This window comes from Homo sapiens, chromosome 5 (assembly GCF_000001405.40).
Source record: "Homo sapiens chromosome 5, GRCh38.p14 Primary Assembly".
NCBI classification, from domain to species: Eukaryota; Metazoa; Chordata; class Mammalia; order Primates; family Hominidae; genus Homo; species Homo sapiens.
The window spans coordinates 46,677,045-46,694,833 of record NC_000005.10 but is presented as its reverse complement, the minus strand read 5'-3'; the positions used below and the strand labels follow the sequence as shown (position 1 = coordinate 46,694,833).

Below are 17,789 nucleotides of genomic sequence, written 5' to 3'. Positions count from 1 at the left end.
CTCAAATCACTGCAAATATCCACTTGCAGATACTACAAAAAGACTGTTTCAAAACCGCTCTCTCAAAAGGAAGGTTCAACACTGTGAGTTGAATGCATATGTTACAAAGCAGTTTCTGGAATGCTTCTGTCTATTTTTCAGGTGAAGATATCACTTTTTCCAACATAGGCACAAAAGAACTCGTAATGGACACTTGCAGATTCTACAAAAAGTATGTTTCAACACTGCTCTATCAAAAGAAAGGTTCAACGATGTGAATTGAACACACACTTCACAGAGGAGTTTCAGAGAATGCTTCTGTCTAGTTTTTAAGTGAAGATATTCCTTTTTCCCACATAGGCAACAAAGCGCTCCAAATGAATACTTGTGGATTCTACAAAAAGGGTGTTTCAACACTGCTCTATCAAAAGAAAGTTTCAAGTCTGTGAGTTGAACGCACACATCACAAAGAACCTTCTGAGAATGCTTGGGTCTACTTTTTATGTGAAGATACCCGTTTCCAACGAATAACTCAAAGAGTTCCAAATATACACAATCAGATACTACAAAAGGAGTGTTTCATTCCTGCTCTGTCAAAAGACAGTTTCAACTCTGTTAGTTGAATGCACACATCTCAATGAAGATCCTGAGAAGGCTTCTGCCTAGTTTTTTGTGAAGATAGTCCCTTTTCCACCATGGGCTTCAAAGCGCTCCAAATGAAAACTTGCAGGTCCTACCAAAAGACAGATTCAAAACTGCTCTATCAAAAGAACGGTTCCACTCTGTTAGGTGAATGCACACATCACAAGAAGTTTCTGAGAATGCTTCTGTTTAGTTTGTATGTGAAGATATTTCCTTTTCCATCATAGTACTCGAATCGCTCCAAATATCCACCTGCAGACGTTACAAAAAGACTGTTTCAAAACTGCTCTCTCAAAAGGAAGGTTCAACTCTGTGAGTTGAGTGCACACATCACAATGGAGTTTCTGAGAATACTTCTGTCTAGTTTGTATGTGAAGGTATTTCCTTTTCCATCTGAGGCCCCAAGTCACCACAAATATCCACTTGCAGATCCTACAAAAAGACTGTTTCAAAACCTCCCCTTCAAAAGGAAAGTTCAAATCTGTCGGTTGAATGCACACATCACAAAGCAGTTTACTGAGAATGCTTCTGTCTAGTTTGTATGTGAAGATATTTCCTTTTTCATCATAGGCCTCAAATCGCACCAAATATCCACTTGCAGATACTACAAAAAGACTGTTTCGAAACTGCTCTCTCAAAAGGAAGGTTCAACTCTGTGGGTTGAATGCACACATCACAAAACAGTTTCTGAGAATGCTTCTGTCTAGTTTGTATGTGAAGATATTTCCTTTTCCATCATAGGCCTCAAATCGCTCCAAATATCCACTTGCAGATACTACAAAAAGACTGTTTCAACACTGCTCTCTCAAATGGAAGGTTCAACTCTGTGAGTTGAATGCACACATCACAAAGCAGTTTCTGAGAATGCTTCTGTCTAGTTTGTATGTGAAGATATGCCTTTTACAACGTATTCCTCAAAGAGCTCCCAATATCCACAAGCAGATTCTACAAAAGAAGTGTTTCAAAACTGCTCTATCAAAGGAAAGTTTCAACTCTGTGAATTGAACACACACATCACAAAGCAGTTTCTAAGAATGCTTCTGTCTAGTTTTTAAGAGAAGATAATCCTTTTTCCACCATAGGCAACAAATCTCTCCAAATGAACACTACCAGGTTCTACAAAAAGTGTGTTTCAACACTGCTCTAACAAAAGTAAGGATCAAGACTTTGAGTTAAATGCACACATCACAAAGCAGTTTCTGAGAAAGCTTCTGTCTAGTTTTTATTTAAAGGTACTTCCTTTTCCTTGTTAGACCTCAAATCGCTCCAAATATCCACTTGCAGATACTACAAAAAGACTGTTTCAAAACCGCTCTCTCAAAAGGAAGGTTCAACTCTGTGAGTTGAATGCACATATTACAAAGCAGTTCCTGAGAATGCTTCTGTCTATTTTTTAGGTGAACATATCACTTTTTCCAACATAGGCCACAAAGCATTTGAAATGAACCCTTGCAGATTCTACAAAATGTTTGTTTCAACACTGCTGTATCAAAAGAATGGTTCAACAATGTGAATTGAACAAACCCATCACAAAGGAGTTTCTGAGAATGCTTCTGTCTAGTTTTTATGTGAAGATATTTCTTTTTCCAACATAGGCAACAAAGCACTCCAAAGAACACTTGTAGATTATACAAAAAGTGTGTTTCAACACTGCTCTACCTAAAGGAAGTTTCAAGTCTGTGACTTAAATGCACACATCACAAAGCAGTTTCTGACAATGCTTCTGTCTAGTTTGTATGTGAAGATATTTCATTTTCCACCATACTCCAGAAATCGCTCCAAATATCCACTTGCTGATATTACAAAAAGACTGCTTCAAAGCTGCTCTCTGAAAAGGAAGGTTCAACTGTGTGAGTTGAATGCACAAATCAAAAAGCAGTTCCTGAGAATGTTTCTGTCTAGTTTGTATGTGAAGATATTTCCTTTTCCATCTTAGGCTTCAAATCACTACAAATATACACTTGCAGACACTATAAAAAGATTGTTTCAAAACCTCTCTCTCAAAATGAAAATTCAAATCTGCGAGTTGAATGCACACATCACAAAGCAGTTCCTGAGACTGCTTCTGTCTGGTTTGTATGTGAAGATATTTCCTTTTCCATCATAGGCCTCAAATCGCTCCAAATATCCACTTGCAGATACTACAAAAAGACTGTTTCAACACTGCTCTCTCAAATGGAAGGTTCAACTCTGTGAGTTGAATGCTCACATCACAAAGCAGTTTCTGAGAATGCTTCTGTCTAGTTTGTATGTGAAGATATTTCCTTTTCCATCATAGGCCTCAAATCGCTCCAAATATCCACTTGAAGATACTACAAAAAGACTGTTTCAACACTGCTCTCTCAAATGGAAGGTTCAACTCTGTGTGTTGAATGCACACATCACAAAGCAGTTTCTGAGAATGCTTCTGTCTAGTTTGTATGTGAAGATATGCCTTTTACAACGTATTCCTCAAGGAGCTCCCAATATCCACAAGCAGATTCTACAAAAGCAGTGTTTCAATCCTGCTCTGTCAAAGGAAAGTTTCAACTCTGTGAATTGAACACACACATCACAAAGCAGTTTCTAAGAATGCTTCTGTCTAGTTTTTATTTGAAGGTACTTCCTTTTCCTTCTTAGACCTCAAATCGCTCCAAATATCCACTTGCAGATACTACAAAAAGACTGTTTCAAAACCGCTCTCTCAAAAGGAAGGTTCAACTCTGTGAGTTGAATGCACATATTACAAAGCAGTTCCTGAGAATGCTTCTGTCTATTTTTTAGGTGAAGATATCACTTTTTCCAACATAGGCCGCAAAGCATTTGAAATGAACCCTTGCAGATTCTACAAAATGTTTGTTTCAACACTGCTGTATCAAAAGAAAGGTTCAACAATGTGAATTGAACAAACCCATTACAAAGGAGTTTCTGAGAATGCTTCTGTCTAGTTTTTATGTGAAGATAGTTCTTTTTCCAACATAGGCAACAAAGCACTCCAAAGAACACTTGTAGATTATACAAAAAGTGTGTTTCAACACTGCTCTACCTAAAGGAAGTTTCAAGTCTGTGACTTAAATGCACACATCACAAAGCAGTTTCTGAGAATGCTTCTGTCTAGTTTGTATGTGAAGATATTTCATTTTCCACCATACTCCACAAATCACTCCAAATATCCACTTGCAAATACTACAAAAAGACTGTTTCAAAACTTCTCTCTCAAAAGGAAGGTTCAACTCTGTGAGTTGAATGCACACATCACAAGGCAGTTTCCGAAAATGCTTCCGTCTAGTTTTTTATTTGAAGGTATTTCCTTTTCCTTCTTCGGCCTCAAATCACTGCAAATATCCACTTGCAGATACTACAAAAAGACTGTTGCAAAACCGCTCTCTCAAAAGGAAGGTTCAACACTGTGAGTTGAATGCACATGTTACAAAGCAGTTTCTGGAATGCTTCTGTCTATTTTTCAGGTGAAGATATCACTTTTTCCAACATACGCACAAAAGAACTCGAAATGGACACTTGCAGATTCTACAAAAAGTATGTTTCAACACTGCTCCATCAAAAGAAAGGTTCAACGATGTGAATTGAACACACACTTCACAGAGGAGTTTCAGAGAATGCTTATCTGTCTAGTTTTTAAGTGAAGATATTCCTTTTTCCCACATAGGCAACAAAGCGCTCCAAACGAATACTTGTGGATTCTACAAAAAGTGTGTTTCAACACTGCTCTATCAAAAGAAAGTTTCAAGTCTGTGAGTCGAACGCCCACATCACAAAGAACCTTCTGAGAATGCTTGGGTCTACTTTTTATGTGAAGATACCCGTTTCCAACGAATAACTCAAAGAGTTCCAAATATACACAATCAGATACTACAAAAGGAGTGTTTCACTCCTGCTCTGTCAAGAGACAGTTTCAACTCTGTTAGTTGAATGCACACATCTCAATGAAGTTCCTGAGAAGGCTTCTGTCTATTTTTTATGTGAAGTCATTTCCTTTTCCACCATAGGCTTCAAAGCACTCCAAATGAACACTCTCAGATCCCACAAAAATACTGTTTCAAAACTGCTCTATCAAAATAAGGGTTCCACTCTGTGAGGTGAATGCTCATATCACAAAGCAGTTTCTGAGAATGCTTCTGTCTAGTTTTTATGTGAAGATATTTCCTTTTCCATAATAGGCCTCTAATCGCTCCAAATATCCACTTGCAGATACTAAAAAAAGATGGTTTCAAAACTTCTCTCTCAAAAGGAAGGTTCAACTCTGTGAGTTGAATGCACACATCACAAAGCAGTTTCTGAGAATGCTTCTGTCTAGTTTGTACGTGAAGATATTTCCTTTTCCATCATAGGCCTCAAATCGCTCCAAATATCCACCTGCAGATACTACAAAAAGACTGTTACAAAACTGCTCTCTCAAAAGAAAGGTTCAATTCTGTGAGTTGAATGCACACATCACAAAGCAGTTTCTGAGAATGCTTCTGTCTAGTTTGTATGTGAAGATATTTCCTTTTCCACCATAGGCTTCAAAGCGATCCAAATGAACACTTGCAGGTCCAACAAAAAGACTGATTCAAAACTGCTCTATCAATAGAATGGTTCCACTCCGTGAGGTGAATGCACACATCACAAAAGAGTTTTCGAGAATGCTTCTGTCTAGTTTTTATGTGAAGATATTTCCTTTTCATTCACAGGCCTCAAATCGCTCCAAATATCCACTGGCAGATACTCCAAAAAGACTGTTTCAAAACTGCTCTCTCAAAAGGAAGGTTCAACTGTGTGAGTGGAATGCACACATCACAAAGCAGTTTCTGAGAATGCTTCTGTCTAGTTTGTATGTGAAGATATGCCTTTTACAACGTATTCCTCAAAGAGATCCCAATATCCACAAGCAGATTCTACAAAAGCAGTGTTTCAAAACTGCTCTATCAAAGGAAAGTTTCAACTCTGTGAATTGAACACACACATCACAAAGCAGTTTCTAAGAATGCTTCTGTCTAGTTTTTAAGAGAAGATAATCCTTTTTCCACCATAGGCAACAAATCTCTCCAAATGAACACTACCAGGTTCTACAAAAAGTGTGTTTCAACACTGCTCTAACAAAAGTAAGGATGAAGACTTTGAGTTAAATGCACACATCACAAAGCAGTTTCTGAGAAACCTTCTGTCTAGTTTTTATTTGAAGGTACTTCCTTTTCCTTCTTAGACCTCAAATCGCTCCAAATATCCACTTGCAGATACTACAAAAAGACTGTTTCAAAACCGCTCTCTCAAAAGGAAGGTTCAACTCTGTGAGTTGAATGCACATATTACAAAGCAGTTCCTGAGAATGCTTCTGTCTATTTTTTAGGTGAAGATATCACTTTTTCCAACATAGGCTGCAAAGCATTTGAAATGAACCCTTGCAGATTCTACAAAATGTTTGTTTCAACACTGCTGTATCAAAAGAAAGGTTCAACAATGTGAATTGAACAAACCCATCACAAAGGAGTTTCTGAGAATGCTTCTGTCTAGTTTTTATGTGAAGATATTTCTTTTTCCAACATAGGCAACAAAGCACACCAAAGAACACTTGTAGATTATACAAAAAGTGTGCTTCAACACTGCTCTATCTAAAGGAAGTTTCAAGTCTGTGAGTTAAATGCACACATCACAAAGCAGTTTCTGATAATGCTTCTGTCTAGTTTGTATGTGAAGATATTTCATTTTCCACCATACTCCACAAATCGCTCCAAATATCCACTTGCAAATACTACAAAAAGACTGTTTCAAAACTTCTCTCTCAAAAGGAAGGTTCAACTCTGTGAGTTGAATGCACACATCACAAGGCAGTTTCCGAAAATGCTTCCATCTAGTTTTTTATTTGAAGGTGTTTCCTTTTCCTTCTTCGGCCTCAAATCACTGCAAATATCCACTTGCAGATACTACAAAAAGACTGTTTCAAAACCGCTCTCTCAAAAGGAAGGTTCAACACTGTGAGTTGAATGCACATGTTACAAAGCAGTTTCTGGAATGCTTCTGTCTATTTTTCAGGTGAAGATATCACTTTTTCCAACATACGCACAAAAGAACTCGAAATGGACACTTGCAGATACTACAAAAAGTATGTTTCAACACTGCTCTATCAAAAGAAAGGTTCAACGATGTGAAATGAACACACACTTCACAGAGGAGTTTCAGAGAATGCTTCTGTCTAGTTTTTAAGTGAAGATATTCCTTTTTCCCACATAGGCAACAAAGCGCTCCAAACGAATACTTCTGGATTCTACAAAAAGTGTGTTTCAACACTGCTCTATCAAAAGAAAGTTTCAAGTCTGTGAGTTGAACGCCCACATCACAAAGAACCTTCTGAGAATGCTTGGGTCTACTTTTTATGTGAAGATACCCGTTCCCAACGAATAACTCAAAGAGTTCCAAATATACACAATCAGATACTACAAAATGAGTGTTTCATTCCTGCTCTGTCAAAAGACAGTTTCAACTCTGTTAGTTGAATGCACACATCTCAATGAAGATCCTGAGAAGGCTTCTGCCTAGTTTTTTGTGAAGATAGTCCCTTTTCCACCATGGGCTTCAAAGCGCTCCAAATGAATACTTGCAGGTCCTACCAAAAGACTGATTCAAAACGGCTCTATCAAAAGAACGGTTCCACTCTGTTAGGTGAACGCACACATCACAAGAAGTTTCTGAGAATGCTTCTGTTTCGTTTGTATGTGAAGATATTTCCTTTTCCATCATACTACACGAATCGCTCCAAATATCCACCTGCAGACGTTACAAAAAGACTGTTTCAAAACTGCTCTCTCAAAAGGAAGGTTCAACTCTGTGAGTTGAGTGCACACATCACAATGGAGTTTCTGAGAATACTTCTGTCTACTTTGTATGTGAAGGTATTTCCTTTTCCACCTGAGGCCCCAAGTCACTACAAATATCCACTTGCAGATACTACAAAAAGACTGTTTCAAAACCTCCCTCTCCAAAGGAAAGTTCAAATCTGTCGGTTGAATGCACACATCACAAAGCAGTTTCTGAGAATGCTTCTGTCTAGTTTGTATGTGAAGATATTTCCTTTTCCATCATAGGCCTCAAATCGCTCCAAATATCCACTTGCAGATACTACAAAAGACCGTTTCAACACTGCTCTCTCAAAAGGAAGGTTCAACTCTGTGGGTTGAATGCACACATCACAAAGCAGTTTCTGAGAATGCTTCTGTCTAGTTTGTATGTGAAGATATTTCCTTTTCCATCATAGGCCTCAAATCGCTCCAAATATCCAATTGAAGATACTACAAAAAGATCGTTTCAACACTGCTCTCTCAAATGGAAGGTTCAACTCTGTGAGTTGAATGCACACATCACAAAGCAGTTTCTCAGAATGCTTCTGTCTAGTTTGTATGTGAAGATATGCCTTTTACAACGTATTCCTCAAGGAGCTCCCAATATCCACAAGCAGATTCTACAGAAGCAGTGTTTCAAACCTGCTCTGTCAAAGGAAAGTTTCAACTCTGTGAATTGAACACACACATCACAAAGCAGTTTCTAAGAATGCTTCTGTCTAGTTTTTAAGAGAAGATAATCCTTTTTCCACCATAGGCAACAAATCTCTCCAAATGAACACTACCAGGTTCTACAAAAAGTGTGTTTCAACACTGCTCTAACAAAAGTAAGGATCAAGACTTTGAGTTAAATGCACACATCACAAAGCAGTTTCTGAGAAAGCTTCTGTCTAGTTTTTATTTGAAGGTACTTCCTTTTCCTTCTTAGACCTCAAATCGCTCCAAATATCCACTTGCAGATACTACAAAAAGACTGTTTCAAAACCGCTCTCTCAAAAGGAAGGTTCAACTCTGTGAGTTGAATGCACATATTACAAAGCAGTTCCTGAGAATGCTTCTGTCTATTTTTTAGGTGAACATATCACTTTTTCCAACAGAGGCCACAAAGCATTTGAAATGAACCCTTGCAGATTCTACAAAATGTTTGTTTCAACACTGCTGTATCAAAAGAAAGCTTCAACAATGTGAATTGAACAAACCCATCACAAAGGAGGTTCTGAGAATGCTTCTGTCTAGTTTTTATGTGAAGATATTTCTTTTTCCAACATAGGCAACAAAGCACTCCAAAGAACACTTGTAGATTATACAAAAAGTGTGTTTCAACACTGCTCTACCTAAAGGAAGTTTCAAGTCTGTGACTTAAATGCACACATCACAAAGCAGTTTCTGAGAATGCTTCTGTCTACTTTGTATGTGAAGATATTTCATTTTCCACCATACTCCACAAATCGCTCCAAATATCCACTTGCAAATACTACAAAAAGACTGTTTCAAAACTTCTCTCTCAAAAGGAAGGTTCAACTCTGTGGGTTGAATGCACACATCACAAAGCAGTTTCTGAGAATGCTTCCTTCTAGTTTTGTATTTGAAGGTATTTCCTTTTCCTTCTTCGGCCTCAAATCACTGCAAATATCCACTTGCAGATACTACAAAAAGACTGTTTCAAAACCGCTCTGTCAAAAGGAAGGTTCAACACTGTGAGTTGAATGCACATGTTACAAAGCAGTTTCTGGAATGCTTCTGTCTATTTTTCAGGTGAAGATATCACTTTTTACAACATACGCACAAAAGAACTCGAAATGGACACTTGCAGATTCTACAAAAAGTATGTTACAACACTGCTCTATCAAAAGAAAGGTTCAACGATGTGAATTGAACACACACCTCACAGAGTAGTTTCAGGGAATGCTTCTGTCTAGTTTTTAAGTGAAGATATTCCTTTTTCCCACATAGGCAACAAAGCACTCCAAACGAATACTTCTGGATTCTACAAAAAGTGTGTTTCAACACTGCTCTATCAAAAGAAAGTTTCAAGTCTGTGAGTTGAACGCCCACATCACAAAGAACCTTCTGAGAATGCTTGGGTCTACTTTTTATGTGAAGATACCCGTTTCCAACGAATAACTCAAAGAGTTCCAAATATACACAATCAGATATTACAAAAGGAGTGCTTCATTCCTGCTCTGTCAAAAGACAGTTTCAACTCTGTTAGTTGAATGCACAAATCTCAATGAAGTTCCTGAGAAGGCTTCTGCCTAGTTTTTTGTGAAGATATTCCCTTTTCCACCATAGGCTTCAAAGCACTCCAAATGAAAACTTGCAGGTCCTACCAAAAGACTGATTCAAAACTGCTCTATCAAAAGAACGGTTCCACTCTGTTAGGTGAAGGCACACATCACAAGACGTTTCTGAGAATGCTTCTGTTTAGTTTGTATGTGAAGATATTTCCTTTTCCATCATACTACACGAATCGCTCCAAATATCCACCTGCAGACGTTACAAAAAGACTGTTTCAAAACTGCTCTCTCAAAAGGAAGGTTCAACCCTGTGAGTTGAGTGCACACATCACAATGGAGTTTCTGAGAATACTTCTGTCTACTTTGTATGTGAAGGTATTTCCTTTTCCACCTGAGGCCCCAAGTCATTACAAATATCCACTTGCAGATACTACAAAAAGACTGTTTCAAAACCTCCCTCTCAAAAGGAAAGTTCAAATCTGTCGGTTGAATGCACACATCACAAAGCAGTTTCTGAGAATGCTTCTGTCTAGTTTGTATGTGAAGATATTTCCTTTTCCATCATAGACCTCAAATCGCTCCAAATATCCACTTGCAGATACTACAAAAGACCGTTTCAACACTGCTCTCTCAAAAGGAAGGTTCAACTCTGTGGGTTGAATGCCCACATCACAAAGCAGTTTCTGAGAATGCTTCTGTCTAGTTTGTATGTGAAGATATTTCCTTTTCCATCATAGGCCTCAAATCGCTCCAAATATCCACTTGAAGATACTACAAAAAGACTGTTTCAACACTGCTCTCTCAAATGGAAGGTTCAACTCTGTGAGTTGAATGCACACATCACAAAGCAGTTTCTGAGAATGCTTCTGTCTAGTTTGTATGTGAAGATATGCCTTTTACAACGTATTCCTCAAGGAGCTCCCAATATCCACAAGCAGATTCTACAAAAGCAGTGTTTCAAACCTGCTCTATCAAAGGAAAGTTTCAACTATGTGAATTGAACACACACATCACAAAGCAGTTTCTAAGAATGCTTCTGTCTAGTTTTTAAGAGAAGATAATCCTTTTTCCACCATAGGCAACAAATCTCTCCAAATGAACACTACCAGGTTCTACAAAAAGTGTGTTTCAACACTGCTCTAACAAAAGTAAGGATCAAGACTTTGAGTTAAATGCACACATCACAAAGCAGTTTCTGAGAAAGCTTCTGTCTAGTTTTTATTTGAAGGTACTTCCTTTTCCTTCTTAGACCTCAAATCGCTCCAAATATCCACTTGCAGATACTACAAAAAGACTGTTTCAAAACCGCTCTCTCAAAAGGAAGGTTCAACTCTGTGAGTTGAATGCACATATTACAAAGCAGTTCCTGAGAATGCTTCTGTCTATTTTTTAGGTGAAGATATCACTTTTTCCAACATAGGCCACAAAGCATTTGAAATGAACACTTGCAGATTCCACAAAATGTTTGTTTCAACACTGCTGTATCAAAAGAAAGGTTCAACAATGTGAATTGAACAAACCCATCACAAAGGAGTTTCTGAGAATGCTTCTGTCTAGTTTTTATGTGAAGATATTTCTTTTTCCAACATAGGCAGCAAAGCACTCCAAAGAACACATGTAGATTATACAAAAAGTGTGTTTCAACACTGCTCTACATAAAGGAAGTTTCAAGTCTGTGACTTAAATGCACACATCACAAAGCAGTTTCTGAGAATGCTTCTGTCTAGTTTGTATCTGAAGTTATTTCCTTTTCCATCATAGGCCTCAAATCGCTCCACATATCCACTTCCAAATACTACCAAAAGACTGTTTCAAAACTTCTCTCTCAAAAGGAAGGTTCAACTCTGTGAGTTGAATGCACACATCACAAGGCAGTTTCTGAAAATGCTTCCGTCTAGTTTTTTTATTTGAAGGTATTTCCTTTTGCTTCTTCGGCCTCAAATCACTGCAAATATCCACTTGCAGATACTACAAAAAGACTGTTTCAAAACCGCTCTCTCAAAAGGAAGGTTCAACTCTGTGAGTTGAATGCACATGTTACAAAGCAGTTTCTGAGAATGCTTCTGTCTATTTTTCAGGTGAAGATATCACTTTTTACAACATACGCACAAAAGAACTCGAAATGGACACTTGCAGATTCTCCAAAAAGTATGTTTCAACACTGCTCTATCAAAAGAAAGGTTCAACGATGTGAATTGAACACACACTTCACACAGGAGTTTCAGAGAATGCTTCTGTCTAGTTTTTAAGTGAAGATATTCCTTTTTCCCACATAGGCAACAAAGTGCTCCAAACGAATACTTGTGGATTCTACAAAAAGTGTGTTTCAACACTGCTCTATCAAAAGAAAGTTTCAAGTCTGTGAGTTGAACGCACACATCACAAAGAATCTTCTGAGAATGCTTGGGTCTACTTTTTATGTGAAGATACCCGTTTCCAACGAATAACTCAAAGAGTTCCAAATATACACAATCAGATACTACAAAAGGAGTGTTTCATTCCTGCTCTGTCAAAAGACAGTTTCAAATCTGTTAGTTGAATGCACACATCTCAATGAAGATCCTGAGAAGGCTTCTGCCTAGTTTTTTGTGAAGATATGCCCTTTTCCACCATAGGCTTCAAAGCGCTCCAAATGAAAACTTGCAGGACCTACCAAAAGACTGATTCGAAACTGCTCTATCAAAAGAACGGTTCCACTCTGTTAGGTGAACGCACACATCAGAAGACGTTTCTGAGAATGCTTCTGTTTAGTTTGTATGTGAAGATATTTCCTTTTCCATCATAGTACTCGAATCGCTCCAAATATCCACTGGCAGACATTACAAAAAGACTGTTTCAAAACTGCTCTCTCAAAAGGAAGGTTCAACTACTGTGAGTTGAGTGCACACATAACAATGGAGTTTCTGAGAATACTTCTGTCTACTTTGTATATGAAGGTATTTCCTTTTCCACCTAAGGCCTCAAGTCACTACAAATATCCACTTGCAGATACTACAAAAAGACTGTTTCAAAACCTCCCTCTCAACAGGAAAGTTCAAATCTGTCGGTTAAATGCACACATCACAAAGCAGTTTCTGAGAATGCTTCTGTCTAGTTTGTATGTGAAGATATTTCCTTTTCCATCATAGGCTTCAAATCGCTCCAAATATCCACTTGCAGATACTACAAAAGACCGTTTCAACACTGCTCTCTCAAAAGGAAGGTTCAACTCTGTGGGTTGAATGCACACATCACAAAGCAGTTTCTGAGAATGCTTCTGTCTAGTTTGTATGTGAAGATATTTCCTTTTCCATCATAGGCCTCAAATCGCTCCAAATATCCACTTGAAGATACTACAAAAAGACTGTTTCAACACTGCTCTCTCAAATGGAAGGTTCAACTCTGTGAGTTGAATGCACACATCACAAAGCAGTTTCTGAGAATGCTTCTGTCTAGTTTGTATGTGAAGATATGCCTTTTACAACGTATTCCTCAAGGAGCTCCCAATATCCACAAGCAGATTCTACAGAAGCAGTGTTTCAAACCTGCTCTGTCAAAGGAAAGTCTCAACTCTGTGAATTGAACACACACATCACAAAGCAGTTTCTAAGAATGCTTCTGTCTAGTTTTTAAGAGAAGATAATCCTTTTTCCACCATAGGCAACAAATCTCTCCAAATGAACACTACCAGGTTCTACAAAAAGTGTGTTTCAACACTGCTCTAACAAAAGTAAGGATGAAGACTTTGAGTTAAATGCACACATCACAAAGCAGTTTCTGAGAAACCTTCTGTGTAGTTTTTATTTGAAGGTACTTCCTTTTCCTTCTTAGACCTCAAATCGCTCCAAATATCCACTTGCAGATACTACAAAAAGACTGTTTCAAAACCGCTCTCTCAAAAGGAAGGTTCAACTCTGTGAGTTGAATGCACATATTACAAAGCAGTTCCTGAGAATGCTTCTGTCTATTTTTTAGGTGAAGATATCACTTTTTCCAACATAGGCCACAAAGCATTTGAAATGAACACTTGCAGATTCTACAAAATGTTTGTTTCAACACTGCTGTATCAAAAGAAAGGTTCAACAATGTGAATTGAACACACCCATCACAAAGGAGTTTCTGAGAATGCTTCTGTCTAGTTTTTATGTGAAGATATTTCTTTTTCCAACATAGGCAACAAAGCACTCCAAAGAACACTTGTAGATTATACAAAAAGTGTGTTTCAACACTGCTCTACCTAAAGGAAGTTTCAAGTCTGTGACTTAAATGCACACATCACAAAGCAGTTTCTGACAATGCTTCTGTCTACTTTGTATGTGAAGGTATTTCATTTTCCACCATACTCCACAAATCGCTCCAAATATCCACTTGCAAATACTACAAAAAGACTGTTTCAAAACTTCTCTCTCAAAAGGAAGGTTCAACTCTGTGAGTTGAATGCACACATCACAAGGCAGTTTCTGAAAATGCTTCCGTCTAGTTTTTTATTTGAAGGTGTTTCCTTTTCCTTCTTCGGCCTCAAATCACTGCAAATATCCACTTGCAGATACTACAAAAAGACTGTTTCAAAACCGCTCTCTCAAAAGGAAGGTTCAACACTGTGAGTTGAATGCACATGTTACAAAGCAGTTTCTGGAATGCTTCTGTCTATTTTTCAGGTGAAGATATCACTTTTTCCAACATACGCACAAAAGAACTCGAAATGGACACTTGCAGATTCTACAAAAAGTATGTTTCAACACTGCTCTATCAAAAGAAAGGTTCAACGATGTGAGTTGAACACACACTTCACAGAGGAGTTTCAGAGAATGCTTCTGTCTAGTTTTTAAGTGAAGATATTCCTTTTTCCCACATAGGCAACAAAGCGCTCCAAAGGAATACTTGTGGATTCTACAAAAAGTGTGTTTCAACACTGCTCTATCAAAAGAAAGTTTCAAGTCTGTGAGTTGAACGCACACATCACAAAGAACCTTCTGAGAATGCTTGGGTCTACTTTTTATGTGAAGATACCCGTTTCCAACGAATAACTCAAAGAGTTCCAAATATACACAATCAGATACTACAAAAGGAGTGTTTCATTCCTGCTCTGTCAAAAGACAGTTTCAACTCTGTTAGTTGAATGCACACATCTCAATGAAGTTCCTGAGAAGGCTTCTGCCTAGTTTTTTGTGAAGATAGTCCCTTTTCCACCATGGGCTTCAAAGCGCTCCAAATGAAAACTTGCAGGTCCTACCAAAAGACTGATTCAAAACTGCTCTATCAAAAGAACGGTTCCACTCTGTTAGGTGAATGCACACATCACAAGAAGTTTCTGAGAATGCTTCTGTTTAGTTTGTATGTGAAGATATTTCCTTTTCCATCATACTACACGAATCGCTCCAAATATCCACCTGCAGATGTTACAAAAAAACTGTTTCAAAACGGCTCTCTCAAAAGGAAGGTTCAACTCTGTGAGTTGAGTGCACACATCACAATGGAGTTTCTGAGAATACTTCTGTCTACTTTGTATGTGAAGGTATTTCCTTTTCCACCTGAGGCCCCAAGTCACTACAAATATCCACTTGCAGATACTACAAAAAGACTGTTTCAAAACCTCCCTCTCCAAAGGAAAGTTCAAATCTGTCGGTTGAATGCACACATCACAAAGCAGTTTCTGAGAATGCTTCTGTCTAGTTTGTATGTGAAGATATTTCCTTTTCCATCATAGGCTTCAAATCGCTCCAAATATCCACTTGCAGATACTACAAAAGACCGTTTCAACACTGCTCTCTCAAAAGGAAGGTTCAACTCTGTGGGTTGAATGCACACATCACAAAGCAGTTTCTGAGAATGCTTCTGTCTAGTTTGTATGTGAAGATATTTCCTTTTCCATCATAGGCCTCAAATCGCTCCAAATATCCAATTGAAGATACTACAAAAAGATCGTTTCAACACTGCTCTCTCAAATGGAAGGTTCAACTCTGTGAGTTGAATGCACACATCACAAAGCAGTTTCTCAGAATGCTTCTGTTTAGTTTGTATGTGAGGATATGCCTTTTACAATGTATTCCTCAAGGAGCTCCCAATATCCACAAGCAGATTCTACAGAAGCAGTGTTTCAAACCTGCTCTGTCAAAGGAAAGTTTCAACTCTGTGAATTGAACACACACATCACAAAGCAGTTTCTAAGAATGCTTCTGTCTAGTTTTTAAGAGAAGATAATCCTTTTTCCACCATAGGCAACAAATCTCTCCAAATGAACACTACCAGGTTCTACAAAAAGTGTGTTTCAACACTGCTCTAACAAAAGTAAGGATCAAGACTTTGAGTTAAATGCACACATCACAAAGCAGTTTCTGAGAAAGCTTCTGTCTAGTTTTTATTTGAAGGTATTTCCTTTTACTTCTTAGACCTCAAATCGCTCCAAATATCCACTTGCAGATACTACAAAAAGACTGTTTCAAAACCGCTCTCTCAAAAGAAAGGTTCACCTCTGTGAGTTGAATGCACATATTACAAAGCAGTTCCTGAGAATGCTTCTGTCTATTTTTTAGGTGAAGATATCACTTTTTCCAACATAGGCTGCAAAGCATTTGAAATGAACCCTTGCAGATTCTACAAAATGTTTGTTTCAACACTGCTGTATCAAAAGAAAGGTTCAACAATGTGAATTGAACAAACCCATCACAAAGGAGTTTCTGAGAATGCTTCTGTCTAGTTTTTATGTGAAGATATTTCTTTTTCCAACATAGGCAACAAAGCACTCCAAAGAACACTTGTAGATTATACAAAAAGTGTGTTTCAACACTGCTCTACCTAAAGGAAGTTTCAAGTCTGTGACTTAAATGCACACATCACAAAGCAGTTTCTGAGAATGCTTCTGTCTACTTTGTATGTGAAGGTATTTCATTTTCCACCATACTCCACAAATCGCTCCAAATATCCACTTGCAAATACTACAAAAAGACTGTTTCAAAACTTCTCTCTCAAAAGGAAGGTTCAACTCTGTGAGTTGAATGCACACATCACAAGGCAGTTTCTGAAAATGCTTCCGTCTAGTTTTTTATTTGAAGGTATTTCCTTTTCCTTCTTCGGCCTCAAATCACTGCAAATATCCACTTGCAGATACTACAAAAAGACTGTTTCAAAACCGCTCTCTCAAAAGGAAGGTTCAACACTGTGAGTTGAATGCATATGTTACAAAGCAGTTTCTGGAATGCTTCTGTCTATTTTTCAGGTGAAGATATCACTTTTTCCAACATACGCACAAAAGAACTCGAAATGGACACTTGCAGATTCTACAAAAAGTATGTTTCAACACTGCTCTATCAAAAGAAAGGTTCAACGATGTGAAATGAACACACACTTCACAGAGGAGTTTCAGAGAATACTTCTGTCTAGTTTTTAAGTGAAGATATTCCTTTTTCCCACATAGGCAACAAAGCGCTCCAAATGAATACTTGTGGATTCTACAAAAAGTGTGTTTCAACACTGCTCTATCAAAAGAAAGTTTCAAGTCTGTGAGTTGAACGCACACATCACAAAGAACCTTCTGAGAATGCTTGGGTCTACTTTTTATGTGAAGATACCCGTTTCCAACGAATAACTCAAAGAGTTCCAAATATACACAATCAGATACTACGAAAGGAGTGTTTCATTCCTGCTCTGTCAAAAGACAGTTTCAACTCTGTTAGTTGAATGCACACATCTCAATGAAGTTCCTGAGAAGGCTTCTGCCTAGTTTTTTGTGAAGATGATAGTCCCTTTTCCACCATGGGCTTCAAAGCGCTCCAAATGAAAACTTGCAGGTCCTACCAAAAGACAGATTCAAAACTGCTCTATCAAAAGAACGGTTCCACTCTGTTAGGTGAATGCACACATCACAAGAAGTTTCTGAGAATGCTTCTGTTTAGTTTGTATGTGAAGATATTTCCTTTTCCATCATACTACACGATTCGCTCCAAATATCCACCTGCAGACGTTACAAAAAGACTGTTTCAAAACTGCTCTCTCAAAAGGAAGGTTCAACTCTGTGAGTTCAGTGCACACATCACAATGGAGTTTCTGAGAATACTTCTGTCTACTTTGTATGTGAAGGTATTTCCTTTTCCACCTGAGGCCCCAAGTCACTACAAATATCCACTTGCAGATACTACAAAAA

General features: G+C 38.0%; 1 annotated feature.

The window, feature by feature from the left end:
- Window positions 1-17,789: part of a centromere (Linear centromere model derived predominantly from reads generated in PMID: 17803354. This region does not represent an actual centromere sequence, as long-range ordering of repeats and unmapped WGS contigs is not provided by the model. For details of model production, see http://arxiv.org/abs/1307.0035.) that runs on past both edges of the window.